Here is a 23378-nt window from a genome sequence, read left to right on the forward strand (position 1 = left end):
GCTGGCATTTGTGTAGTCCTGGCTGCCCCTTGCAGTGACCGCTGCCCGGTGTTGATTCTTATGCAAAGAGAGGGCCGGGGTCAGGGTCTGTTGTTTGTTCTGGAAAAGCTTGTAGGATTTTCACCAGACCTTGTGACCTTTGGGGACATTTTTTTTGTGTGTGATCAGAGACAGAATGGGATATAAACACTAGAAGTGACATTTTCTAAACGTGAGGCACTTCTCTGGGCTGGCAGTGCCAGGAGCGTGGAGGGCTCAGATCTCTGCTGGCAAAGGTGTGAGTGCTCTCCCTTCTCCCTCTCCCTCCCACTCCAGCCTCCACCCCAGAGCAGAGAAACGTTTGCCCAAATGTGACTTATACCTTCGTTCTGAGAGTAGGCACAGGTGGGCCTCTTCCATTGGCTGCCCTTGTGGGCTGTGAGCAGAGAGGGCCCTCATGTTTACTAAGTGCCCTTGTGGGCTTGGGGCCACCCCACCGCCAGATGGAGGGGACAGAGGTGACAGGCGACAGGGCTGGGCTCCCTGTCCAGCTCCCCAGTGGCAGAGGTCCTCGGACAGTGGGAATCAGAAGGGCGTCTTTGCTGGGCCACCCTTGGCAGGGAGTGACCTGAGCAGGTGCTTCCTGTGTGAGTGGGGGTGTCTGGGAACTGTGCAAGGTGCGGCCATGTGGGCATGCTCAGAGCCTGGTTGGACTGTAAGGTAGGAAGGCATCCAGTCGTTCCCATGGGCCAGCACAGAGGAGAAACAGGCATGTGTGCGCGGGCCTGAAGGCGGCCCCTTCCCGGCAGTCTTACCTAAGCGACTGGTCCCTTAGGCTCCCAGCTTCGTGCCTGTCACCCAGCATCCCCATTGCCTCACGGTTCCCCCTCTCACGGGAGAAACGTCGACAGTGCTGGTGGGAACACAGAGATGCCACCCAGGACCCCCGTGAGATGCAGACACAAGCGGCTTTAACTTTACAATGCAATGAAGCAAAATATGCTGGCTTTGAGACCCGGAGGGCACGAAAACAGGGAGCTGGGGTTCTGGAAGGACGCCAGCTCGGCCTGCGAGGGGCTGAAAAATACCTGCTGTTGCCTCTGTCTCGTTGAGAGTTGCCTCCCACCACCACAGAGGGAACCACGTGAGTCAAAGACAGAAAGAAAGGGACGGAAAAGAACTGTATTTCAAAGAGGCAAGCCTTTATATTAGAATGACGGCAACGCAGTTTAGGTGAAAATTACATTTGTCACCCCCACACTGGAGTGTTTATTGAACGGCAGCTGGGTCAGCTCAAGGAATTTCAAAGAGACGCAGGACACGAAGTGATGGATGAGTGGAATCCTCCACTAAAACTCCTTCCAGGACACTGTGTATCTGTCTACAGTTTCATTCTCGCTTTCTTTCTTTTTATTGAGGGCATGCCTTGGACGTTTTGTTTTTAGTCTCAGGACCATTTTAATGAAGAGCCATGGGTCACTGCTTCTATTCGGGGTCATGTACAGACAACAGTCAGTGGAAATAGCACTTGTCTTTGAATTGAGCAGATAGAAAATAGAGAAGGAAAGTCCTGGAGGAGCGGCTTTCCCGCCAGCGTCTACCTGTAGAGAGTGAGACGAAGATGGAGACAATTAACTGGACGAAGCAGGCAAAATCCCCGATAATTGAGGCCGGGTGCCACGGGGTGACTTTCCCTTTCTGGAGTTATTTAGCCAGTTTCTTTCTCTCTGCTGTGTGTGTCGACACAACCTTGGCCTCCCCCGCTGTAAAATGGAAAAACCACAGCCGCAGAGCTCACCAGGGAATTCTGCAGCTCTCGGAATGATTGCGCGCCGGGCTGACAATGCGAAGTGTTAGATTAACGTGAAAGTGTTCTATGTTGGAACATCGAATACAGACGAGGCATGTAAGAAAACGATGTTTTAAGAAATATGTTTTATGCTATATCATTTCTTTTACTGAAAACAATTGGACAAACAAACAAGAAAAGCCAAGGAAAATGCGACCGGGACGTGGAATCGGCCCGTCTGTGAGTGGAAGGATCACACTCCCAGCTGAGATAGAAATAAAGCCACGCGTGCCTCTGTTTCTATGCGTGGTAAAATAAACAAGCAACACTTCGAGGAACTATTGATTCTGTTATTAAAACACAGCCTGTTTGGTTTGCCAGATCGTAGCCATTATTAATGCATTATTAATTCTATGTAAGTGCCTGCTTGTCAGATCCATTAACCGGGGGAGTAATTGCCGAGGGAGAGAGCTCAGAAGGTGTGTCACGCTGCTCGCTCGGTCTAGGTGGAACGAAGCGGAGGGAAGCCACGCGGAGCAATGGAGGCAGCCCTGTAAGGCAGTGTCCGTTTCTGTCTGTGGCCAAAATGGCCAGGGATGTTTTTGGCCAAGCTGATGAGACAGAGATTGGAAGAGGAAAGTTTCATACTGATACTTCGGCTGGCTGGCTGCAGAGTAACCTGCATTTTGGGCCATTTTTGGTTAAATGTATGAAAGCAAACATCCACATAAAGGCTGAAATGGTTTGTCAATGACCCAGAGGCTGTTCCCGGGATCTTTTGAGCCCTGGGAACCTGGAGGTACCTGCAGAGCTGAGCAGATTGCTTCCGCATCAAGGAAACAAGCGGGACTTGTGAGAAGGGGCGGTTTGTGAGGCCCCTGGCTGCAGGCACTGGAGGTCCTGCCACCCAGCGGCACAAGGCTGCCCTGCCTGCTTTAAGGAGGAGACAGGACTATTGACTTGGTCCGATTTGCCTGAACTTCTTGAGTTTCTCACTGCCCGTGGATTCCAGTTGCTTTAACACGGGAAATCGGACCTGCTGGAGGAGACCCTGCGCTGTCCTCAAAGACAACACTGTTTCCACTAACGCAAGGATACAGCGTGATTGAAACAGTGCCCCACCCATAGGGTGGCTGGCAGATTGAACGTGGTGCTCTGTGGAAAAATGTGGTCTGGCCATACCCAGTGCTATGCACGTGTTTACCACCATTGCCTCCCCTTCTCCCATCTCATGTTATCGGTCTGTAAAGTGGGTGTCATGAGTGACTTCTGGTATCTGCTGAGGGGGGTGGTGTCTGGGTGAGGCCCGAGTAGTTGGAGGCTTTGGTTTTTGCATAATGGGACCCCTATTTTCCACTTAACCCGAACCAAAGCGGAATCATGGAAGGCCTCAATGCAGGCAGCCCTGAGGGCGCAAGAAAGTTTGCTTTGTTCAAAGGGCTCCTGGGAGCCGGGCGATGGGTGACCACGCCAGGAAGCACCTTGACTTGGGTACTTTGCAGAATCTTCCTCCCAGCGCACCTAGACTTGCCGCTGTGTGGCAGCTTTGACTCCCAGCCCAGTAACAAACACGTCCATGACGCTGTGGACTGACAGAGACCGCAGAGCTGGTCAACGTGAGGAATGGGGCCCGCGCCCCGGGGGACCTCCAAGGCTGGGGGCACGGGAGCAAGCGGGTTACTCAGGCCCACACTAACCGCACTTGTAACTTCTCTCCCTGAGTCAAGGCAAGTTTTCATTCAAGCCAACGTAACACAATCTTGCCAATGACTGGAAAAATAACTAGCTTTGCAAAAATTTAAAAAGACTCAGATAATACTCAAATTTGGAGCCCTAATGAAGTGTGTAAACCTCATGTCCACAGACTGTGTTACTGGAGCCAGAGGGGGAAGATCCCTGAATCAGCCCGCCTGGGGCCGCCCACGGCTGCTCCTTGCGTGGGAGGTGGCCCCATGCGGCCGCTTCTCTGGGGGACAGAACAGAAACTGGGGCGAGTTTGGCCCAGCCGCAACATCCAAGTCTGTGTTCATTTAAAACTAACTGCCTTTGATTGCATTTGACAAAAACATTGGTCCATGATTGACTGGAAATAAAATAATGAGGGTTTGAGACCCGGGCTCCGACCTCCCTTCTGTTCTGGGCCCGTGTGAGGCCGGGGACGGCCCGGGCAGGTGTCAGCAGCAGGAGTGTTTTCCGGGGTCCCTGTGGAGAACGTCTCTCCGCAGCTTCTCCTGGAACGTTGTCTCCGAGGCTCAGCAGCCTCCTCACACCCCCTGGGTCCACACCTCAGACCCATCTGCCCGCCCGGCCAGCCTGCCTCGTCGTTCCCCGCGGGCTCGTGCCTCAACAGGCAGCGTGTGGATGCCACCGTCACCTTCACGGGAGAGGCAGGTCCGCCCTGGAGCTGATCCCCTGGTGAGTGGGGACCATCCCTCACCTTTGGTTTGCCCGCGTTCTCACACGGGGACAGCTGTTTAACCCGACACCCTTCGGGGACAGCACAAGACACCCACGCTGTCTGGGGGTGGGCTGGAAGTGCACCGTCAGCTGGGCTTCTGGACTGGATCTGGCAGCCCTGCTGGTGGCCCTCAGGAGACGCCCGTGAGGGTTTTGGTGCTGGAGTGGGGAGGGGCTGCCATGGGTGAGAGGCTTTTCGGACACCGGTTGGGGGGTGGCTGGATGGGGTGACCTGGGGACTTGGACGATGGGGACGATGCCTGAGTCAAACCACTCAGTGCAGGGACCCCTGGGCCTTGATTTGGGGTCCTCCTGCAGTCCGGCCTCACTCACCCCGAGTTCAGGCTCTGCAGAGGTAACCCCGGTGGGCAGGGAGAGAAATGACCCAGGGGCCGCCACTGAGCTGGCAGCTTGGCGCAGCTCCATAAGAACACGGGCTTTGGTGCTTGGATTCCAGGAAGAGTGACTGTGTCTTTCCTGTGACCTCAGCGAAGCCTGGGGGCTTTCTAGGGTAGTGGTTTTTTTTTTTTTTTAACAAAGGAGGGGCTGCCGATGTCCCAGAAACGTCACCGCAGACGCTGCAGCATCAGCTGCCACCTTTCAGGAGCTTCACCGCCTGTTGGCATTTCTGATCGAAGGAGAGGGGCAAATGCAGCAGGGGCAGGACCCTCGGCCTGGCCACTCACACACCTCAGCCTGGTTGGCAGTTCACAGGGAGAGACCCTCTGAGGTGAAATCTCTGATGCTGTCCAGGTTCCTACCATCCCCTGACGCCCTGCACCAAGCATGGCAGCTTTTGGGGTCCCCACGAAGGGTCACCGACCTGAGAGGTTCTCGCTGCTGCTGATGGAGCCACAAGGCACGGAGCTAACGTGCTGAGTAGGGGGTGCAGACCCGGCCCCCGCCTGCCTGTCCCCCCTCCACCCCCGACCAAGGACATGCCGGCATCGGAGGGTTTGTGTCTACACTTCTCCCGGTCCCCAGGGTGCAAGAATGAGGCCGGGTGTCGGCGCTGGTCTCTGCTTGTCTGGAAAGGACTTGCTGTCCTGGGGGAAGGGCAAGGGGCTGCTGGCCAGTCCGCAGTGTCCCCCCGAGCTGTCAGCTCCTTCCAGGGTGTAGGGTCTGCGGATGGGAGGGGCTCAGGTTGAAGCTGTGTCCAGGCAAAGGGGAAGCGCAAAGTCGAAATGTTTCCTGGGCAAGGGGCCGGCGGCGCCTAATTCCACCTTGTGTGCCAGTGCAGTTCATAGCCCAGCAGTCACCCGGGGTGGGGTCAACTCTGGAAGGCCCCTGTGTGTTGACTCCAGGGTGAACCCGGGACTCCTGAGTGGGCGCCCAGGCCCCTCTAGTGCTGGCCGCCTCTGCTTCCCTCTCCAGGCCCACCTGCCGGCCACCACAGTGGCCCCCAGCGCCCAGCCCAGGTCCCCCACGCCGGCTTCTCTCGGCCCAGGTCACTCTCTTCACACTGTCATCTGCCAGTCACTTGCACACTCTGATTCCCAAGGCGACTCTGCTGCAGGCACACGCCCTCAGCAAGACCTGGCTGAGTGCCGTCTGTGCCCGTGGATGCACGCGCAGCTCTCCTGGGGACACTGGCCCTGGCTCCACTCCCTGGACAGATCTGTGCCCGGCACTGGGTCTGCTCCCTGCACAGACCCACACCTGGTGCTGGCGCCACTCCCCGGACACACCTGCCCCTGGCGCTGGCCTGGGTTGGGTGTGTCCGTGTGTCCAGCGCTGGCCTGGATTGGGTGTGTCCGTGTGTCCGGCACTGGCCTGCGTTGGGTGTGTCCGTGTGTCCGGCGCTGGCCTGGGTTGGGTGTGTCCGTGTGTCCGGCGCTGGCCTGGGTTGGGTGTGTCCATGTGTCCGGCGCTGGCCTGGGTTGGGTGTGTCCGTGTGTCCGGCGCTGGCCTGGGTTGGGTGTGTCCGTGTGTCCGGCGCTGGCCTGGGTTGGGTGTGTCCGTGTGTCCGGCGCTGGCCTGGGTTGGGTGTGTCCGTGTGTCCGGCGCTGGCCTGGGTTGGGTGTGTCCGTGTGTCCGGTGTTGGCCTGTGTTGGGTGTGTCCGGCGCTGGCCTGCATTGGGTGTGTCTGTGTGTCCGGCGCTGGCCTGGGTTGGGTGTGTCCGTGTGCCCGGTGCTGGCCTGCGTTGGGTGTGTCTGTGTGTCTGGCGCTCCAGCGGGGAGTCTGTGGGGGGCATGTTGCTGAGGTGCTGGGAGCTGGGCCTGACACTTCTGTGTTTTATTGAATCTCCCAACATCCAACATCCCATTTCCATTTAACAGATGAGGAAATGAAAACACAGAGAGGAGAAGGCACTCGCCTGAGGTACCCTGCCAGACGCTGGGGACGGGCTCACACGCAGCGGCCCAAAGCCTGCTGCCTCTCGGAGCAGCGGGGGTCTGGGACGGATATTGAGGCACAGGGCCTTGGACGTGCCCGTGGAGCTGCTCAGCCAGTGGGGAGTTAGCCAGCGTTTTACAGGCAAAGCTGCGGAGCTGTGCTGGTGCCTGTGTGTGAGTATTTACATGCAGTTTGTTACTTGGGGAAATCATGTACTCTTCTCACTGCTTCTGGCTGTGCAGAACACAAACTCAGATCTGGAATCTTCTCACTGCTTCTGGCTGTGCAGAACACAAACTCAGATCTGGAAGCAAAGGGCAGATGCCGTGCAGAGCGTCAGAAAGCACTGCAAACCTCAGACCAGAGGGAAGCCGGGTTTTTAAACCATCTTCCTGCAAGCCTTTTCAGGAGGACCAAAATTAGACCAGGTGGTTGAAGGAGGGTGGGTACAGCTGATGCTCCAATTCAGTCAGCTTTTAACGTGGCTCCTTCAAGCAACTGCTGCCAACCCGCTGTGCTCACCCATCCTGGTTGGGAAGGAACCTGCTGTTCTCAACAAGCCGAGTGTCCCTGCCCCCAGCCCCCGCATGGCTGAGGCTGCCCGTGTGTCAGTGGTGCAGGGTTGTTGAGGGTGCAGCACAGAGTGTGGTGATGATGCCGCCTCCATCCCCATTGCTCCAGGGCCAGGACTTGGATCCAGAGTGGGAGGAGCTTCAGCTGGGAGGGTGGCTGAGCAGCCAGGGAGTGCATCCGTCCCTGGACTGGGGAGACCCCACTGCTGAGGGGCAACAGGAGTGCATTCTATTGCAGACAAACTGCAGGTCCACTCTGACTTCTGTCTTTTCAAGCCTGGCTCTCTCTCTACCACTTCTGAGGTCCTGGCCTTGCCTTGCCGCGATGGCTGCTGTCTGCACCTCAAAGCTCATGCTATTGCTTGGCCCTCTTCTCAATTTCCTGTTTTGTTTCTGCCTTCTGTGGTATCTCCCATGCTACTTGCTTTATACATTAAAAAACCCTCAAAAACAACAACTCCAGGCATTTCCTGCCAAGCAAGCATTTTGGGCAGAACTTTTCCACTTCCAGGATGGGCTGGGTTGCTGTTGACTGTCTGAGAAGCAGCAGAGAGATTAGACATGTCTTTCTCAAGAGCAAACAGGCCTAATACATTTCTCTCACAGCCAAAATTGCCCTGTGTTTGTGCTACTGGAGTTCACTCTTTGAGGCTCTGAGTGGCTACAACCTTCTGTGTCTCCACCAGCAAGGACGTGCACAAACTGTACATATCCTGGTGGCAACTGGGAGGAAAGTCCAGGAGGAGAGGCTGTGGGCACCAGCTGATTTGTAGGGACAAAGTTTACTGAGGAGAGAGGAAGCAAGCCTTGAATTTGTCTGTCCTCTCACCTGGGTTGCAGAGGCTCCCAGGCTGCCCCGAGGGCAAAGCAGGGGAATGTCCCTCTGCCGTCTCTCCAGGATGCTTCAAAGGCACTTGCCTGGATCTGTGAACCTCTGCAGCACGTGGCTGGGAGGGATGGGAAGTGCTGGCAACGTCCTTCCTGGGAGATGGCAGCCTCTGCAGGAGAGGGAGCCCATGCCTGGGGAGAGGGAGCCCGTGCCTGGGGAGAGGGAGGGAGCCCGTGCCTGGGGAGAGGGAGCCTGTGCCTGCGCTGGCCCTCTAGGCTGGGAGCAGGGTTTCTATCACACTGGGCTGCAGAGGGGAGTGAGGCCATAGGCCGGGGCTCAGTGCCAGGGCTCTCATGATTTCCTGGAATGCCTGTTTCTTCACAAGCTGTATGCCCTTAAATTCTGGAACTTTAAAATTTGTTTGAAAAATAAATTTCACCAATTATGCTTGTTTCACTGGGGAGTCAGTCTCCCCCAGCTGCTGGTCTAGAAGAGGGACTCCCTCTCTGTTGTCTCTGGACCAAATCCACATTCACCAAAACCGTCAGTGATGATGTCATCATTTTTGCTTAAATTGCGAAACATGTTTTAAAGCATGCAAGAGAGGAAGAGGGGTCTATTCTTTTTACCCAGGCAGTTTCCATTTCTGTTACTCCTTTATCATTCCTGACACTCTGTGTTTTCTTCTGGTTTCATTTTGCCTCTGTCTGAAGAACTTCCCTTAGCAATATTTTTAGAAGAAGTCTGCTGGAAAACAATACTCTTTTCCTTCAGCTGAGAATATCGTCATTTCACTTCATTACTGAAGGCTCTTTTCATTGGAGATAGAATTCTGGGTTGACATTTAGCAGTTTAAAATGTTGTTCCACTTCCTTCTGGACTTCATTGTTTCTGAGGAGAAATCTGCAGTCTTTTGAATAGTTGTTACCTAAAGAGTAATGTCTCCATTTTCTCAAACTACTTTAAAGAATTTTCCTTTGCCCTCAAGTTTTAGTCTTCATTATGATGTGTCTGGCTGCGTAAAGATTTCTTTAGTTTTATCTTGCTTGGGGTGTTTGCTCAGATTCTTGAATTTGTGGGTTTATGTCTTTTGCCAGATTTGGAATGATTTTGCTGTTATTTCTTCAAATATTGTTTTCTTTATTGCACTGTTTTTCACTGTGGAGGTTGGCAAGTCCAAATCTGCAGAGGAGGCTGGCAGGCCCAGGAAAGAACTGGCATCTTGGTTCACGTTCGAAGGCTGAGAGCTGGCAGAACTCCCCCTTCTTTGAGGGAGGGCAATCTTTTCCTTAAGGCCTTCAACGAATTAAATGAAGCACACCCACATTATGGAGTGTCATCTATTTTACTCAAAATATGTTCACTTAAATGTTAATCTCATTAAAAAATACTTTCCCAGCAAAATTCAGGCATGTTTGGCCAAATATCTGGGTGTCACAGCCAAGCCAAACTGACAGCTAAAATTCACTGTCACGCTCCCCTACTTTGATTCCAGTGACACAAATCTTGGACATTTGCTATGGTCCCACAGGTCTCTGAGGCTCTGTTTATTTATTTCTTCAATCTTTTCTTCTTTGTCATTCAAATTGAATACTTTCTACTGATCTTTAAGTTCATAGATCTTTCCTCTGTCACCTTTATTTTGCTAGGGAACCCATCCACTGAGTTTTAAAATTTTGGTTACCATATTTTTTTGGTTCTAAAATTTTGATTTGTTTTCTTCTTTATATCACATATTTCTTTGCTGAGACTTTTTATTTCCATATTTCTCAAAAGTGTTCACTCCTACTTCTTGGAATATTTTTGCAATAACTGCTTGGAAGTCTTTATCAGAGAATCCCAATATCTGCGCCATCTCAAGGCTGATGTCTGTTTTCCCATGTACATGGAGATTTTCCTGTTTCCCAGGTCTTTGTATGGCAAATAATTTTGGATTATATGCTCGGCATTTTGAATATTATATTATAAAAGTGTGAGTTTTGTTTCTATCTTATGAAGAATGTGAATATTTTTGATTTAGCAACCAATTGACTCTACAACCAAGCTAACTGGGTTCAGAACACAAGTTCCAACCAACCTTCTGTTGTTGTAGTTTAAAAGTCAGCTCCATTTTTTTTTTTTTTTGAGATGGAGTCTCGCTCTGTTGTCCAGGCTGGAGTGCAGTGGCGAAGTGGCACAGATCTCTTGTCTCACTGCAACCTTCACCTCCTGGCTTCAAGCGATTCTCCTGCCTCAGCCTCTGGAGTAGCTGGGACTACAGGCACGCACCACCATGCCCAGCTAATTTTTGTATTTTTAGTAGAGACGGGGTTTCACCATGTTGGCCAGGATGGTCTCAATCTCTTGACCTCGTGATCCGCCCACCTTGGCCTCCCAAAGTGCTGGGATGACCTCGTCCGGCGCAGTCAGCTCCATTTTTAAAAGCCTTTGCAGTGCTATCTGGGTCAGTTCCGTGTGTGCGCCACCTGGTGGACGGTCTGAGCTCTGGGTGGGGTCTGTTCCATAGTTCTACATTTGTGGCACGTTGCTCAGGGTCAGACCCACACACGTGCAGCTCAGGGCGGCCCAGGCGTTCAGAAGCAACTTCACTGGGGCACGTCCTAGGCCTCTCTGCTCTTCCCATTGGACCTCCCCTTCTCAGTCTCCTTCCAGAAAGCTGGAGCTTGGTCAGCTCTGTTGTGCCTGTCACACACCTGCAGGTGTCTGAGGCCACATGGCAGGAGGATGCAGAGACAGCAGTAGGGTGTGCACCACCTTCTTAGGACGACAGCTCCTGTGACTGAAGCAAGAGGCTCATCTAGTCTCGGAGGGTTGGCAGACCCTCTCCTGGTGCTTGTCCACGACAGAAGCTCTTCCTTCCACACCAATACCTATTGGTGGGTTCTGGGCTTGTTGGAAAAACATGGTGAACTCATTGCTAGTCAGGGGTTATTCAGAAATCTAGTCTTCCTGCCGAATCCATGTGCCTTGTTTTCCAGAGACCCATGCATTCCACAGAAGTCTGATGGCTGTGTCTGTGGGGAGAGACTGGGTATGCTCACTCCTTCTTACTGAAAATCCCCCTCACTGCCCGGGTTTTGTTTTGTTTGTTTGTTTTATTGAGACGGGGTCTCAGCCTGTTCCCCAGGCTGGAGTGCAGTGGTGCAATCTCGGCTTACTGCAAGCTGCGGATCCCAGGTTCAGGCAGTTCTCCTGCCTCAGCCTCCCTAGTAGCTGGGATTACAGGTGCACACTGCCACGCCCGGCTAATTTTTTTGTATTTTTAGTAGAGACGGGGTTTCGCCATGTTGACCAGGCTGGTCTCAAACTCCTGGCTTCAGGTGATTCACCTGCCTTGGCCTCCCAAAGTGTTGGGATTACAAGTGTGAGCCACTGCGCCCAGCCACTGCCCAGGTTTTAAGTTCTTTGTTTCTGACATCTCAGCATTTCCCTTTTCTTCTCATCTATTTGGGCTCGGCTGTGAGCTTCACCTTTCGCACGGTGGTCCTTGCAGCGTGTGGTTGGCTGTGTGCTCGGGTTGACAGCATGTTTGGTGGTTTTAGCAAATCGGGATTCCCTGTCAGCTTGGTCCACTGTGGTGCCAAGGCCAAGGGCCCCTGGTTTTCTCCACGTCTCTGGAACCCACAGAGAGAGTGTTGAGAAATGCAGCGTGGTAGGGAGGTCTCCAGGGCTCAGAGGAGACTCATTTCTACCAGCCATGTTATACAGAAGCATTTTATACTTATTGCTTATCTTACACCTGAAAGTAATTTTTTTGGTCACTGTGAATCCGCGGGCTCCGTATAGTGCCTGTTACCCTGGAGAATGAGAAACAGGATGGCATAATTTAGAAACTGTCATCTTGTTGAAGGTGTTTGTTAGGATTACATTTGGCTGTGACTAGCAGAAGCCCCCAAAACAAAATGGTTTGCCCAAGGTTAATTTGATGGCTCCTCACACCAGCCACTGAGTGCCTGGCAGGAGGTGGATGCCCAGGCTTGGGTGCTGGCTTTGCCTTAGTGTCCTCTGACCCACGCCCCTCCCGCTCCCCCTCTACCACCCTTAGGGCACTGGTCAGGCGCCTGCAGGGATAGAGAGCAGCTTGAAGGCAGTGGAATTTGAGAAGGAGTAGAGCTAGTGGAGGAGCCGGGATCCTGGGGACAGAGGATGAGAAAGTGTCTGGAAGTCAGAGTGAGACAGCGTCCTGCACAGTGGGCTGGGGAGAGAGGGAGTGTCCTGCACGGTGGGCTGGGGAGAGAGGGAGCGTCCTGCACGGTGGGCTGGGGAGAGAGGGAGCGTCCTGCACGGTGGGCTGGGGGAGAGAGGGAGCATCAGAGGTCTTCTGCTGAAGACATGGCCAGCCCAAGAGGACCTCTCCAACCTGGCCTCTGTCTCCCTTCCTCTTCTTTTCTCCCAAGGCTCTGCTTCAGCCAAACTCAACCAAAGGTGAGCAGGCATGGAGCTGGTCGAAGCTGTCCTTGGCCTGGGCTTTGGGGGCAGAGCGCAGGGCAAGAAGGCCAGGGATGCCCAGGCTAACTTTGAAATCTGAGTTCTCGACCTTGATAGGATAGGAGGTCAGAAGCACCTTGTTATAACCCCATTAGGATTTCTTCCTGGGGGCCTAACAGAAACTGGCTCCTCCAAAAGACTCCACCGCTGGCACCAACCACCTGCCTGATGCCACCCCTCCTTTCCTGCCTGGTAAGAGACCACTGACCAGAGGCTGGTTCCGGATGACCACAGGCTGGTTCCGGATGACCACAGGCTGGTTCCGGACAGGCTGCGGAGGATGCGCAGGGAGGGTTTTTGTGTCTGCTGCTTCACCTTTAGACCTCAGAGGGCTGGAAACTCCACCCTCGGGCCGTGATAACACCACCACTTTTGCACATGGGACCCATGAGGGGCAAGCAGCTGTTTTGCACATACGTATGTCTCCTCTCGTGAATATTGGTGACTCCTCCTATAGCGTGTTGAGAATGTATACTCAGCCACTGGCTCAGCATCAGTTCCCTTCCCTTTACCCCTCCCTGGACGTGCCTGTTTCTGGCTTCTGGTCAGAGGCTACACATCCCAGCCTGTCAGGATGGCCCCTGCAGCTCTCCTTTCCAAACAAATAGAAAGAAGGGCCGAGACATGCGGAGGGTGGAGGAGAAGGCATGGTGTGGCCTTGTGCTCACAGTGTGGGACAGGGCTCCTGTGTCCCAGCAGCAGGCTGGAGAGAGGAAGAAGAAGATGGAGAAGCCAGGAGTCTACTACCCCTCGGGGAAAGCCCCCAGAACTGAAAGCGGCAAGGCTCCTGTTGACATTTTGTTCATTTCTGTTCCTGTTGGGAGAACTGAGTCCTCCACACCCAGCTGCTGGAGGGGCTGGGAAGCCTTTGTTAATTCTGGGACACCCCACATGGCCTTGGGGCCATATTCACAACTCATGTGCCCCTGGCAGGCACCGGGTTTCCCAGAGGCTCAGCTCTCAGCTCTCTCCCCTTGCCCATGTCCCCAGCCGAGAAAGCCTCGGAGAGAGGTGTGGGAAAGGAGGGGAGGCAGGAGTGTGGACCACGCGGAGCTTGGCGAGAGGCAGGGCTGCATCCTGGTGGGAGTGGGTGGCAAAGGCTGGGCCTCTGGGGACGCTGCAAACTTGGGGCAGCTCCGTCAGTGCCTTCACAGGACCTGAGCAGAGGAGGCTTGCAGGACCGCCCCTGACGGGTGCTCCTCGGGGCACAAGTCACACTCATCCTGTGCCGTCTGCCATGAGCTCCGCACACCCCGTGAAGCCTGGACCGTCTCACGGGGACCAGAGACTGCGAGTTAACTGGTTTTCCTCACAACAGGGATGCCGTGACATTGAGGCATTTGCTGGTGGTGAACAACTTAGTTTCTTTCCTGCATAACTTTTGTTATTTTGAGCAATCTCACTTTCACTTTCAGAGAGCGGTTGAAGAAGAAATGATCAGGAATTGGAGTTAACAGCTTTTCTGTGGGGCAGTTCGACATGAAGAAAATACCTGTTCAAGGACTTTGAAATAAAGATGAAAAAGAGGCCACACGTCCTTACATACCTGATATTTCTTTTTTTCTTTCTTTCTTTCTTTCTTTCTTTCTTTCTTTCTTTCTTTCTTTCTTTCTTTCTTTCTTTCTTTCTTTCTTTCCTTCCTTCCTTCCTTCCTTCCTTCTTTCCTTCCTTCCTTCTTTCTTTCTTTCCTTCTTTTTTTCTTTCCTTTCTTTCTCTCTCTCTCTCTCTCTCTTTCTTTCTTTCTTTCTTTCTTTTTTTTTTTTGAGACAGTTTTACTCTGTTGCCCAGGCTGGAGTGCAGTGGCTCAATCTCAACTCACTGCAACCTCTGCTTCCTGGGTTCAAGTGATTCCCCTGCCTCAGCCTCCTGAGTAGCTGGGATTACAGGCGCGTGCCACCACACCCGGCTAATTTTTGTATTTTTAGTGGAGATAGGGTTTCACCATGTTGGCCAGGTTGGTCTCAAACTCCTGACCTTAAGTGATCCACCCGCCTTGGCCTCCCAAAGTGCTGGGATTACGGGCGTGAACCACCGCGCCCGGCCTGAGCCACCGCACCTGGCCGTTTTTTATGTTATGTGTATCGTATGCTGTGTTCTTACAAGTAAGCTAGAGGAAAGCAAATGCTATTAAGCAAATCTTAAGGAAGAGAAGACACGTTTACAGTTCTTAAAATGGGAGTGGATCCTCATAAAGGTCTTCATTCTGGCCGTCTGCCGGTGGAGCAGGCTGAGGAGGGGAAGAGGAGGAGAGGCTGGCTGTGCTGTCTTGGTGGAAGAAAACCCGTGTATCAGTGGACCTGCCCAGCTCACACCTGTGCTGTTCACAGGCCAACTGCACTTGAGTTGTTTCTCCTGAGAACAAAGACAGGCTCCATGTGCCGGAAATTTTCCGCTGCTACATGTCTACGATTTGATATCAGCCACATTCAACATTCTTCACTATTTCCGTAATTTCCCTCGTAGCTCTTTTTAAAAATCAAACATTCAATCCACCTGCATTTAGCTTTCCTGGTGTCCTTTCTTGTTCTACGACAATTCCTTAGCCTTTTATTTTCTGCTTTTCGTGACGGTGACATTTTTGAAGAGTCTGAGTCCATTGTTTTGCAGAGTGGTCCCTCCGCTCACGTTTGTCTGACCGCGCTGACATTCAGCCTCCTCATCTTTGCAGGGCCCCAAGGCCTCGTTCTCTGCTCCTGGACAGGTCAGCAAGACCCGTGGCTCTGGCAGGGAGCCCTGCAGTGCTCGGGCAGTGCGGTGTCCAGGAACACTGTGGCTTTTAGCTCCTCTCTCTCTTCACTTCGGGGAACTTTTCTTTTTCTTTTTCTTTTTTTTTTTTTTTTGAGACAGGGCTTGCTCTGTCGCCCGGGCTGGAGTGCAGTGGTGCGATCTAGGCTCATGGCAACCTCCACCTCCCAGGTTTAAGCGATTCTTGTACCTCAGCCTCCCTGAGTAGTTGGGACTACAGGTACCCGCCACCATGCCTGGCTAATTTTTATTTTTATTTCTTTGTATTTTTAGTAGAGACAGGGTTTCACCATGTTGGCCAGGCTGGCCTCCATCTCCTGGCCGTAAGCGATCCACCCAACTTGGAGCCACCATGCCCGGCCATACTTCTGGGAACTGTTCTCACTTTATTCATACATCAGCAGTATTTGAGCACTCTCTCTGTGTGAGCACGCCTCTGTGTGTGAGCACTCTGTGTGTGAGCACTCCTCTGTGAGCACTCTGTATGTGAGCACTCTGTGTGAGCACTCTGTGGGTGAGCACTCTCTGTGTGTGAGCACTCCTGTGAGCACTCTGTATGTGAGCACTGTATGTGAGCATTCTCTGGGTGAGCACTCTGAGCACTCTGTGGGTGAGCACTCTGAGCACTCTGTGGGTGAGCATTCTGAGCACTCTGTGGGTTAGCATTCTGTGGGTGAGCACTCTGGGTGAGCACTCTGGGTGAGCACTCTGAGCACTCTGTATGTGAGCACTCTGTATGTGAGCACTCTGGGTGAGCACTCTGTGTGTGAGCACTCCTCTGTGAGCACTCTGTATGTGAGCACTCTGTGTGAACACTCTGTGGGTGAGCACTCTCTGTGTGTGAGCACTCCTGTGAGCACTCTGTATGTGAGCACTGTATGTGAGCATTCTCTGTGGGTGAGCACTCTGAGCACTCTGTGGGTGAGCACTCTGGGTGAGCACTCTGTCTGGGTGAGCACTCTGTCTGTGAACACTCTGTGAGCATCAGCCTTGGGACGGGCTCCCTGGGGTCGTGTGCTCACGGCCACATCAGCTTGTGTGCGGCAGCGGTCACAGAGAGGGAGAGGTGTGGTTGGTCGGCACCAAGCCCCCTGCGCATCCCCGGCGTGGTCCATGTTGAGGGTGCGGGGGGTCCTCGTCCCCTGAGTAGATGCTGATTGTCTGCTCTGAATGGCCACTGAAGCAAAGCCCAGAGAGGCTGAGTTCTTGTCCCAGGCACCGGGCTCTGACAAGGGGAGCTGGGTCTGCACCCAGGTCCAGCCCAAGCACTCCCGGGAGAACCACCGCCCGCTGCTGCCTGGGGAGGACGCCTGTCCCCAGATTGTCCTGCCCCAGCTCAGGGAGGGAGCCAAGAGCATCGTGAGTGAGCGTCTTGTCCACTGTGTGCTCTGCTGGGATCTGGGCACTGAGACACAGTATTTGATGTGGGACCCAGGAAATGCTGAGCCCCCGAGAGTACAGTGAGGCAAAGCGTGGCCAGTGCTGACTCTGGGAGGTCAGTGGGCACCATGAGCTGTCCGGCATTCCCATAATCCTGCTGCCTGTGTCAAGAGGGGCTTCCAGAAAAGACCCAGTGCCTAGCCTCAGGGTCCCTCCAGGGCCGCCTTATTCCTAACATGATGTCCATGAGCCACCCAATAAGCAAAACTGGAAGAGGCACCTGCCCCATTCCAGATCCTTCAGCTGTGAGACTACATGCTGTGTAGACAGCTCCCTACGTGGAGCACTCATGTGTAGACCACTCTGGGTGTGTAATGTGAATGCGTGTGTAAGTGTGTGTGGGGTGTGTGGTATATAGTGTGTGCTGTGTGTGTGGTGTGTGTCGTGTGTGTGTGGTGTTGGTATGTGTTATGATATGTGTTGTTTGTAGTGTGTGTGTTTGTGGTATGTGAGTGGTGTGTGTGGTATGTGGTGTGCTTGTGTGCCTATTGTGTGTTGTGTGTCGTGTTGTGTGTGGTGTGTGTCGTGTGGTGTATGTGTTGTGTGTAGTGTGTGTGGTGTGTGTCCTGTGTGTGTCGTGTAGTGTATGTGTGGTGTGACTGGTGTGTGTGTTGTGTGTGATGATGTGTGGTGTGTGTGTGGTTTGTGTTGTGTGTCGTGTGGTGTGTGTTGTGTGCAATGTCATGTGGTGTGTTGTGTGCAGTGTGCATGGTGTGTGTTGTGTATATGTGGTGTGCCTGTTGTGTCGTGTGTTGTGTGTGTGTTGTGTGTGTCGTGTGTCCTGTGTGTTGGGTCATGTGTTGTGTGTGGCGCATCTGTGTGTGTGTGTGGTGTGTCTGTTGTGTGTGTAGTGTGTTGTCATGTGTTGTGTCACATGTGTTGTGTGGTGTGTCATGTGTTGTGTCGTGTGTGTTGTGTGTTATATGTGTCGTGTGGTGTGTGTTGTGTGTTGTGTATGATGTGTCCTATGGTGTCTGTTGTGTGTAGTGTGTGATGTGTATTGTGTGGTGTATGTGTGGTGTGCCTGTTGTGTATGTGTGGTGTGCCTGTTGTATTGTGTCGTGTGTTGTGTTGTGTGTGTGTTGTGTGTTGTGTCATGTATGTGATGTGTGTTATGTGCGTCGTGTGTCGTGTCATGTGTGGTGTGTCATCTGTTGTGTGCTGTGTGTGTCATGTGTGTTGTGTGTTGTGTTGTGTGTGGTGTGATGTGTGTCATCTGGTGTGTTATGTGTAGGAAGTTATGTGTGTCTTGTGGTGTATGTGTGGTGTGCCTGTTATGTGTATTGTGTGTTGTGTGTCGTGTGTGATGTGTCGTGTGCTGTGTGTGATGTGTGTCATATGTGTGGTGTGTGTCGTGTGGTGTGTGGTGTGTGTGGTGTGTGTGGTGTGTGTGTGGTGTCGTGTGTGTGGTGTGTGGTGTGGTGTGTGTGGTGTGTGTGGTGTGTGTCGTGTGGTGTGTGTGAGGTGTGTGGTGTGTGTGGTATGTGTGGTGTGTGGTGTGTGTGGTGTGTGTCATGTGGTGTGTGTGGTATGTGTGGTGTGTGGTGTGTGTCGTGTGTGTGGTGTGTGTGTGGTGTGTGTGGTGTGTGTGGTGTGTAGTCTGTGTGGTGTGTGTGTGGTGTGTGTCATGTGTGTGGTGTGTGTGGTGTGTGTGTGGTGTGTGTGGTGTGTGTGGTGTGTGTCGTGTGGTGTGTGTGTGGTGTGTGTGTGTGGTGTGTGTGTCATGTGGTGTGTGTGGTGTGTGGTGTGTGTGTGTGGTGTGTGTGGTGTGTGTGTCATGTGGTGTGTGTGTGGTGTGTGTGGTGTGTGTGGTGTGTGTTTGTCGTGTGTTGTGTGTGTGTGGTGTGTGTGTTGTGTGTGTGTTGTGTGTGTGGTGTGGGTTTCATTCATTGGATGGATATTGAGCCTCTCTCTCCCTTTGGGGCTCCTGCTCACCCCTGGCTTGGGGAGTTTCTCGGGGTGTTTCTCTGAGCACCTCTGGTCCCTTCCTCTGACTCTGATCTCCTAGTTTATTTAACTCGTGGGGCTGCCTCGACGGATTTCTGCATTTTTCTTATCCCTTTTCTCCTGTTTTCAGTTTTTCTTGGTACTTGGAGATTTCCTCAGCTTTGTCTTCCAAACTTTCTTTTTTTTATTTTTAATTTTTATTTTTTTTATTATACTTTAAGTTCTAGGGTACATGTGCACAACGTGCAGGTTTGTTACATATGTATACACGTGCCATGTTGGTGTGCTGCGCCCGTTAATTCGTCATTTACAGTAGGTATTTCTCCTAATGCTGTCCCTCCCCGCTCCCCCCACAGAAAGATTTTGCTTCTACTGCCACGGGGCTGTTTTTAATTCCCGAGCGTTCTTTTGGGTGTGTAAGATGGCATCTTGCCTTTGTTTCATGGATGTCACATTTTCTCTGATTTCTCTGAACATTCTGCTGATATTTTCCATTAGTTTCCTTCTCCCCGTGGTTTTGTTCCACAGAGCAAATAGTACACTGATCTGTGTCCTGAAGCTCAGGCACCCAGGGATCTCCTGGGGTTTGATGCCGGGGCTCTCTGAAGTCCGTGGGCAGGGCTCATGGGCCCCTTGCGGACACCCACTTGGGAACCTCACGGTTCAGATCCAGGGACCTGCTCCCCGGGAGTCCAGCGTCCTTGCAGGGGCCTGCGATGCCTTGTGCGGCCTGGGCCGTGCTGCTTGGCGTCTGCACGCAATGGCGAGGGCTCCCGGCTCCCTGTGCGGAACCCTGTGCAGCCAAGGGGAGGCTCCCGGCCCGGTGTGCAGGTGAGGGGTCTCCCGGCCCCGCGTGCAGGTGAGGGGGCTCCCGGCCCTGCGTGCAGGCGAGGGGTTTTCCCGACCCCGCGTGCGGGTGAGGGGGGGTCCCAGCCCCGTGTACTTTTGCTGGTGGCCCTGGTCATGAGGCTTCTCTCCCTGCCCACAGCTGTCCTTGGGGTCTCGGGGTCCAGGGGTTGGCCCCATCTCTTGCTGTGCTACAGGCCCAGACCCCCCAGGGTAAAGGACTTACTGACCCCTTTTGGGAATTGTCTCAACTCCAGAGACCTGCCCGTTGGGGCCACTCCCTCTGGTCCCGTGACTGTGGGCACACCATGTCCAGGCCCCACCCAGGCAGCTCTGAGGGGTCACCTGACCTCGGGGCTTTCTGCTGGGCTGGCGGGGCCTTCAGTGAGACCCACTGCGGAGGTGCCCATCCCACAGCCAGGGCAGCAGCGCCCTCCTGCTCACCTCCAGCCAAGTTGGCTTCCCAGAGGCTGCAGCCTCACCCGCACCCCAGGCTTTCATCCCTCCCCACGCCCTGCCTTTCGGCCTCAGGCTTCTCCAGCATGGGTGAACTGAAAACACCCACGGAACACCCCTCTAGGTGGGGTGGGTGGCTGGGCGGCCACCTCACTGGTCCTCGACAGCCCACTGCACCCCCACATCCCCACTGCACCCCTTACTGCACCCCTCCTACATCGCCACTGCGCCCCACTTTGACCTCCAGGGCATCCCTTGTGCCCACTGCACCCCTATGCACCTCCGCATCCCCGCAGCACCCATGGCGCTCCTGCTGTGCCTCACTGCACCTCCCGCGGCAGCTCCCTGGGGATCGTCACTGCCACGATGAGTTGCTCAGCTTTCTACCAGCCCGAGCTCTCTTGACCTCCGGCACCTGCTGTCTTCTCCCCATCGGGTTTCTCCCTTGTGGTCACGTTAGTGATGTTTTGGAGCCGTGGACCAGGGCACCACGTTTCACTGAAATTCACCCCAGGTAGCTGAGTGTGGCAGGCTCTGCAAAACACCAGAGCAGCATCGCCCAGCAGAAAGGTGGAGCTCTCTGTCTGTCGCCGCGACGTCTCCAGCGTCCCGATGTTGTGACTTGAGCGCTTGTGAGCTCTGATTGTGGCTGTCGTGTTGGAGATGCAGTCCCCGGACGTGAGACCTGTGCCTGGGGGTGCACAGCTGACCCAGCCCTGCTGGGGTGTAGCCTCCCTCTGAGCAGAAGGGTGGGTTCACCGGGGGCTCTCTGCTGAGTCCACACATGCAGCCAGGCCTCTCCTTCTCCTGTGCAAGTGTGTAGGAAGAGAAGAAGCCGCTGAGGGTCAGCCCGGAGTGTCTTAGCACCTGGGATCATGGCTACTCGAGGGCCGTCCTGTCTCAGGCCGGATTTTAGTGAACGTGCTAAGAAACCATGTTCTGTTGTGTCTTCCCAATGCCTCCTCTGTCGCTCCTGGATGAACAGCCCAGTTCCTATGAGGTCACTCCTATTTCCACTGACTGCCAGTTTGTTCTTTGGGGTTAAGTGGTGGCATCTCCCTTTTTGTTGAGTGTGGGCCGGGTTTTGAAGGCAGGCACGTTCCTCTCCTGCCCCCGGCAGAGGTCTGGAGCAGGCAACATTCACTTCTGCACACATCTGTGGAAACCCAGGTGCTGAGTCCTGTTTTTCCTTTTTGAACCCAGTGTGGGGTGTAGACCCTACGCGGGCACGCCCTTTTGGTAACGAGCCTCTGGCAGGATGCTGTGGTGTCCTGAGATGGGAGGGTTAAAGGAGGCATGAGGTCCTGTGCTGGGATGATGTACTCGGGCAGCTCCACCCAGCGGAAGCCGTGGTGATCTTACTCTCTTAGGGTCTTGATTTCCTTCCCCCCATCAGTGGAGAGTGGCATCAGCCTCCAAGCAGCATGCACAGGAGGACTCAAAGTGGTGGGCGGTGAACAGTGTCCAGAATGCAGCACGTGACCCCCAGATGGACGAGCCCGCTGACCATGGGTGGGCTCAGGGGCCACCACATCACAGACTAGAAAGTGTCTCACATTTTCAGGGGGCAGCAATGTGAAAACACGTCCGTGGAGAAATTTTGCAGATAATACACCTTCAGCAGACAAGAGCTCTTACCATGACTTAAAAGTGTGTGGGTTTGTCTTTTAATTACTAATAAGGTTAATTTTTTCCAAAGCCCTCTGACTCCTCGCCCCTTTAAAATAGTGTGGATGCCGTGGGACCTCCACCCGCCCTCATGGTCAGAGGGAGTTGCAGAGCTGCAGGGGACAGGGTCATTTTTGTGCAGTAACCACGGGTGCAATAACCAGGCTAGAATATGCAGGGATGCAGCTAATTAATGAACCAAATGACAACACCCCTATTAAACCATTGTAATCAGAAGTGAAATCATATCATGCTGTCGTGGAGACAGCTGTCCTTGGAAGAAGTGAGGACAAGCTTCGCCCTCATTCGCTCTTGGGTGTGATTATCCACACTGGGGTCACTCAACAGCATTCTGGGCTGGGGAAACACTGCCTCGGAGTTGGCTGGTCAGCGCATGATGGGTTCCTTTGTGTGGGGCAGGCCTGGTTGTGGCATTTGTTTGGAGGGGTGTGTGTGTGTGTGTGTATGTGTGGTGTCCCCATAAGATTTTTTTGAGACAAGCTGCTGTTTCTCTGCATAAATATAATAGCCTAATTTTAATATTCGCCTGACTGTGCGTCTAAGTCAGCTGGAGAATGTGTCACAGGAGGAAAATACTAATAGGATATGTGCCAATTTGCAGTTTAAGTAAGGCTGCCTCTAATAGGAGTTGAGAGCTTTGTATTAACCCCCAACAATGGAGAGAAGCCGTCTTGGCGGCTGATTACTTAGGCAACCTCCAGATAGATCCACACAGCCCATTGAAATTCCAATCATTTCCACATACTATTCCCACCTATATAATTGTCAACTGGCCCTTATCATTATTTATTATGCAAAATTGAATTTTTTTGAAGCGTGAAGAATGAAGTAATTTCGTATGCAAACAGTTAAACTCTCATGTGTATTCTGATTACGTACGTGTTGATAAATTCACTTATGATGAGTGACAGTGTGAGATTTTGGGGTTGGATCGGTCAATCCGTGGAAGACACTGATGAAAATGACAAACCTCATGCCAGAAGCGTCCCCGGCACATCTCGGGTGGAGTGTGCAAAATGTCAGTGTCTAGCCGCTGTCTATTAATAACTAAATATGATTGTGTGTAATGAGCAGAGATTTTTGTGGTGATTGAAGTAGGATTTTTTTGATCTCCCAGATGTTGCTGCTTAGAAATTCATATTGCTTTTCTCCTGATGATGCCTCCTGACCTTCTCAACCCTCTCCACTGTTAGAGCCCCTGTTATTCCCGCACCGCGTTAAGTTGGGGGGCTGACGTGTCCTCCGCCACTGGGCCGATGTTCTGCCCTTTGTCAAAGTCCCCTTTTCCCGTGTGGCCCAGCACCTCCTTTAGGATGAGGCTGCACTGGTGGGGCTGGGAAGGCTGATCAGGAGGTTTGCAGTGCCAGGTCCAGTCCTCACCCCTGGGGTCAGTTTGGCCTCGGACCAGGCACGAGACACCTGGCCTTTTAGGAGGGGGGAGGTTTGAGGTCAGCAGTGGCCCCAGAGCCTTGGGAGAGGGGCCAGGGGAGGGCCATTCTAGATGCAGCCCAGGGAGCCTGCAGCCCATGGCTACCCACGAAAAGAAGAGAGGTCTAAGAGGGAGCCCGAGTTCCCACGCAGGGGAGATGAAGACCAGGGCGGGCAGGGGCCTGGCCCAGGTTCTGGAGAAGCAAGGGGTGCTTCTCGGATATCACGGTGGATGAGAGTGACCCAGAGTCGTTAACCAGAGTGTCTATGCGGCCGTGACGAGGCGTGGACTCGGCTGTCCCCATCACGTGTTCATGAGCTGAGTCTTTTATCCAACAGATACTTTCACGGAGCATCCAAAAAAGTTCCCATCAT

At 53.3% G+C, this 23378-nt stretch overlaps 1 long non-coding RNA gene across 1 annotated transcript in view; it reads left to right on the forward strand.

Annotated features, from left to right (window-relative positions):
- The first annotated feature begins 1867 nt into the window (after window positions 1–1867).
- Window positions 1868–23378, forward strand: part of LOC101927914 (uncharacterized) — a 33486-nt gene continuing 11975 nt past the window's right edge. Inside the window, exons 1-2 of the long non-coding RNA NR_110157.1 lie at window positions 1868–4183; window positions 6506–6736. This is a non-coding gene — a long non-coding RNA (uncharacterized LOC101927914). The remainder of the gene's footprint in view (window positions 4184–6505; window positions 6737–23378) is intronic.

Source organism: Homo sapiens, chromosome 7, assembly GCF_000001405.40.
Source record: "Homo sapiens chromosome 7, GRCh38.p14 Primary Assembly".
Taxonomy (NCBI): Eukaryota; Metazoa; Chordata; class Mammalia; order Primates; family Hominidae; genus Homo; species Homo sapiens.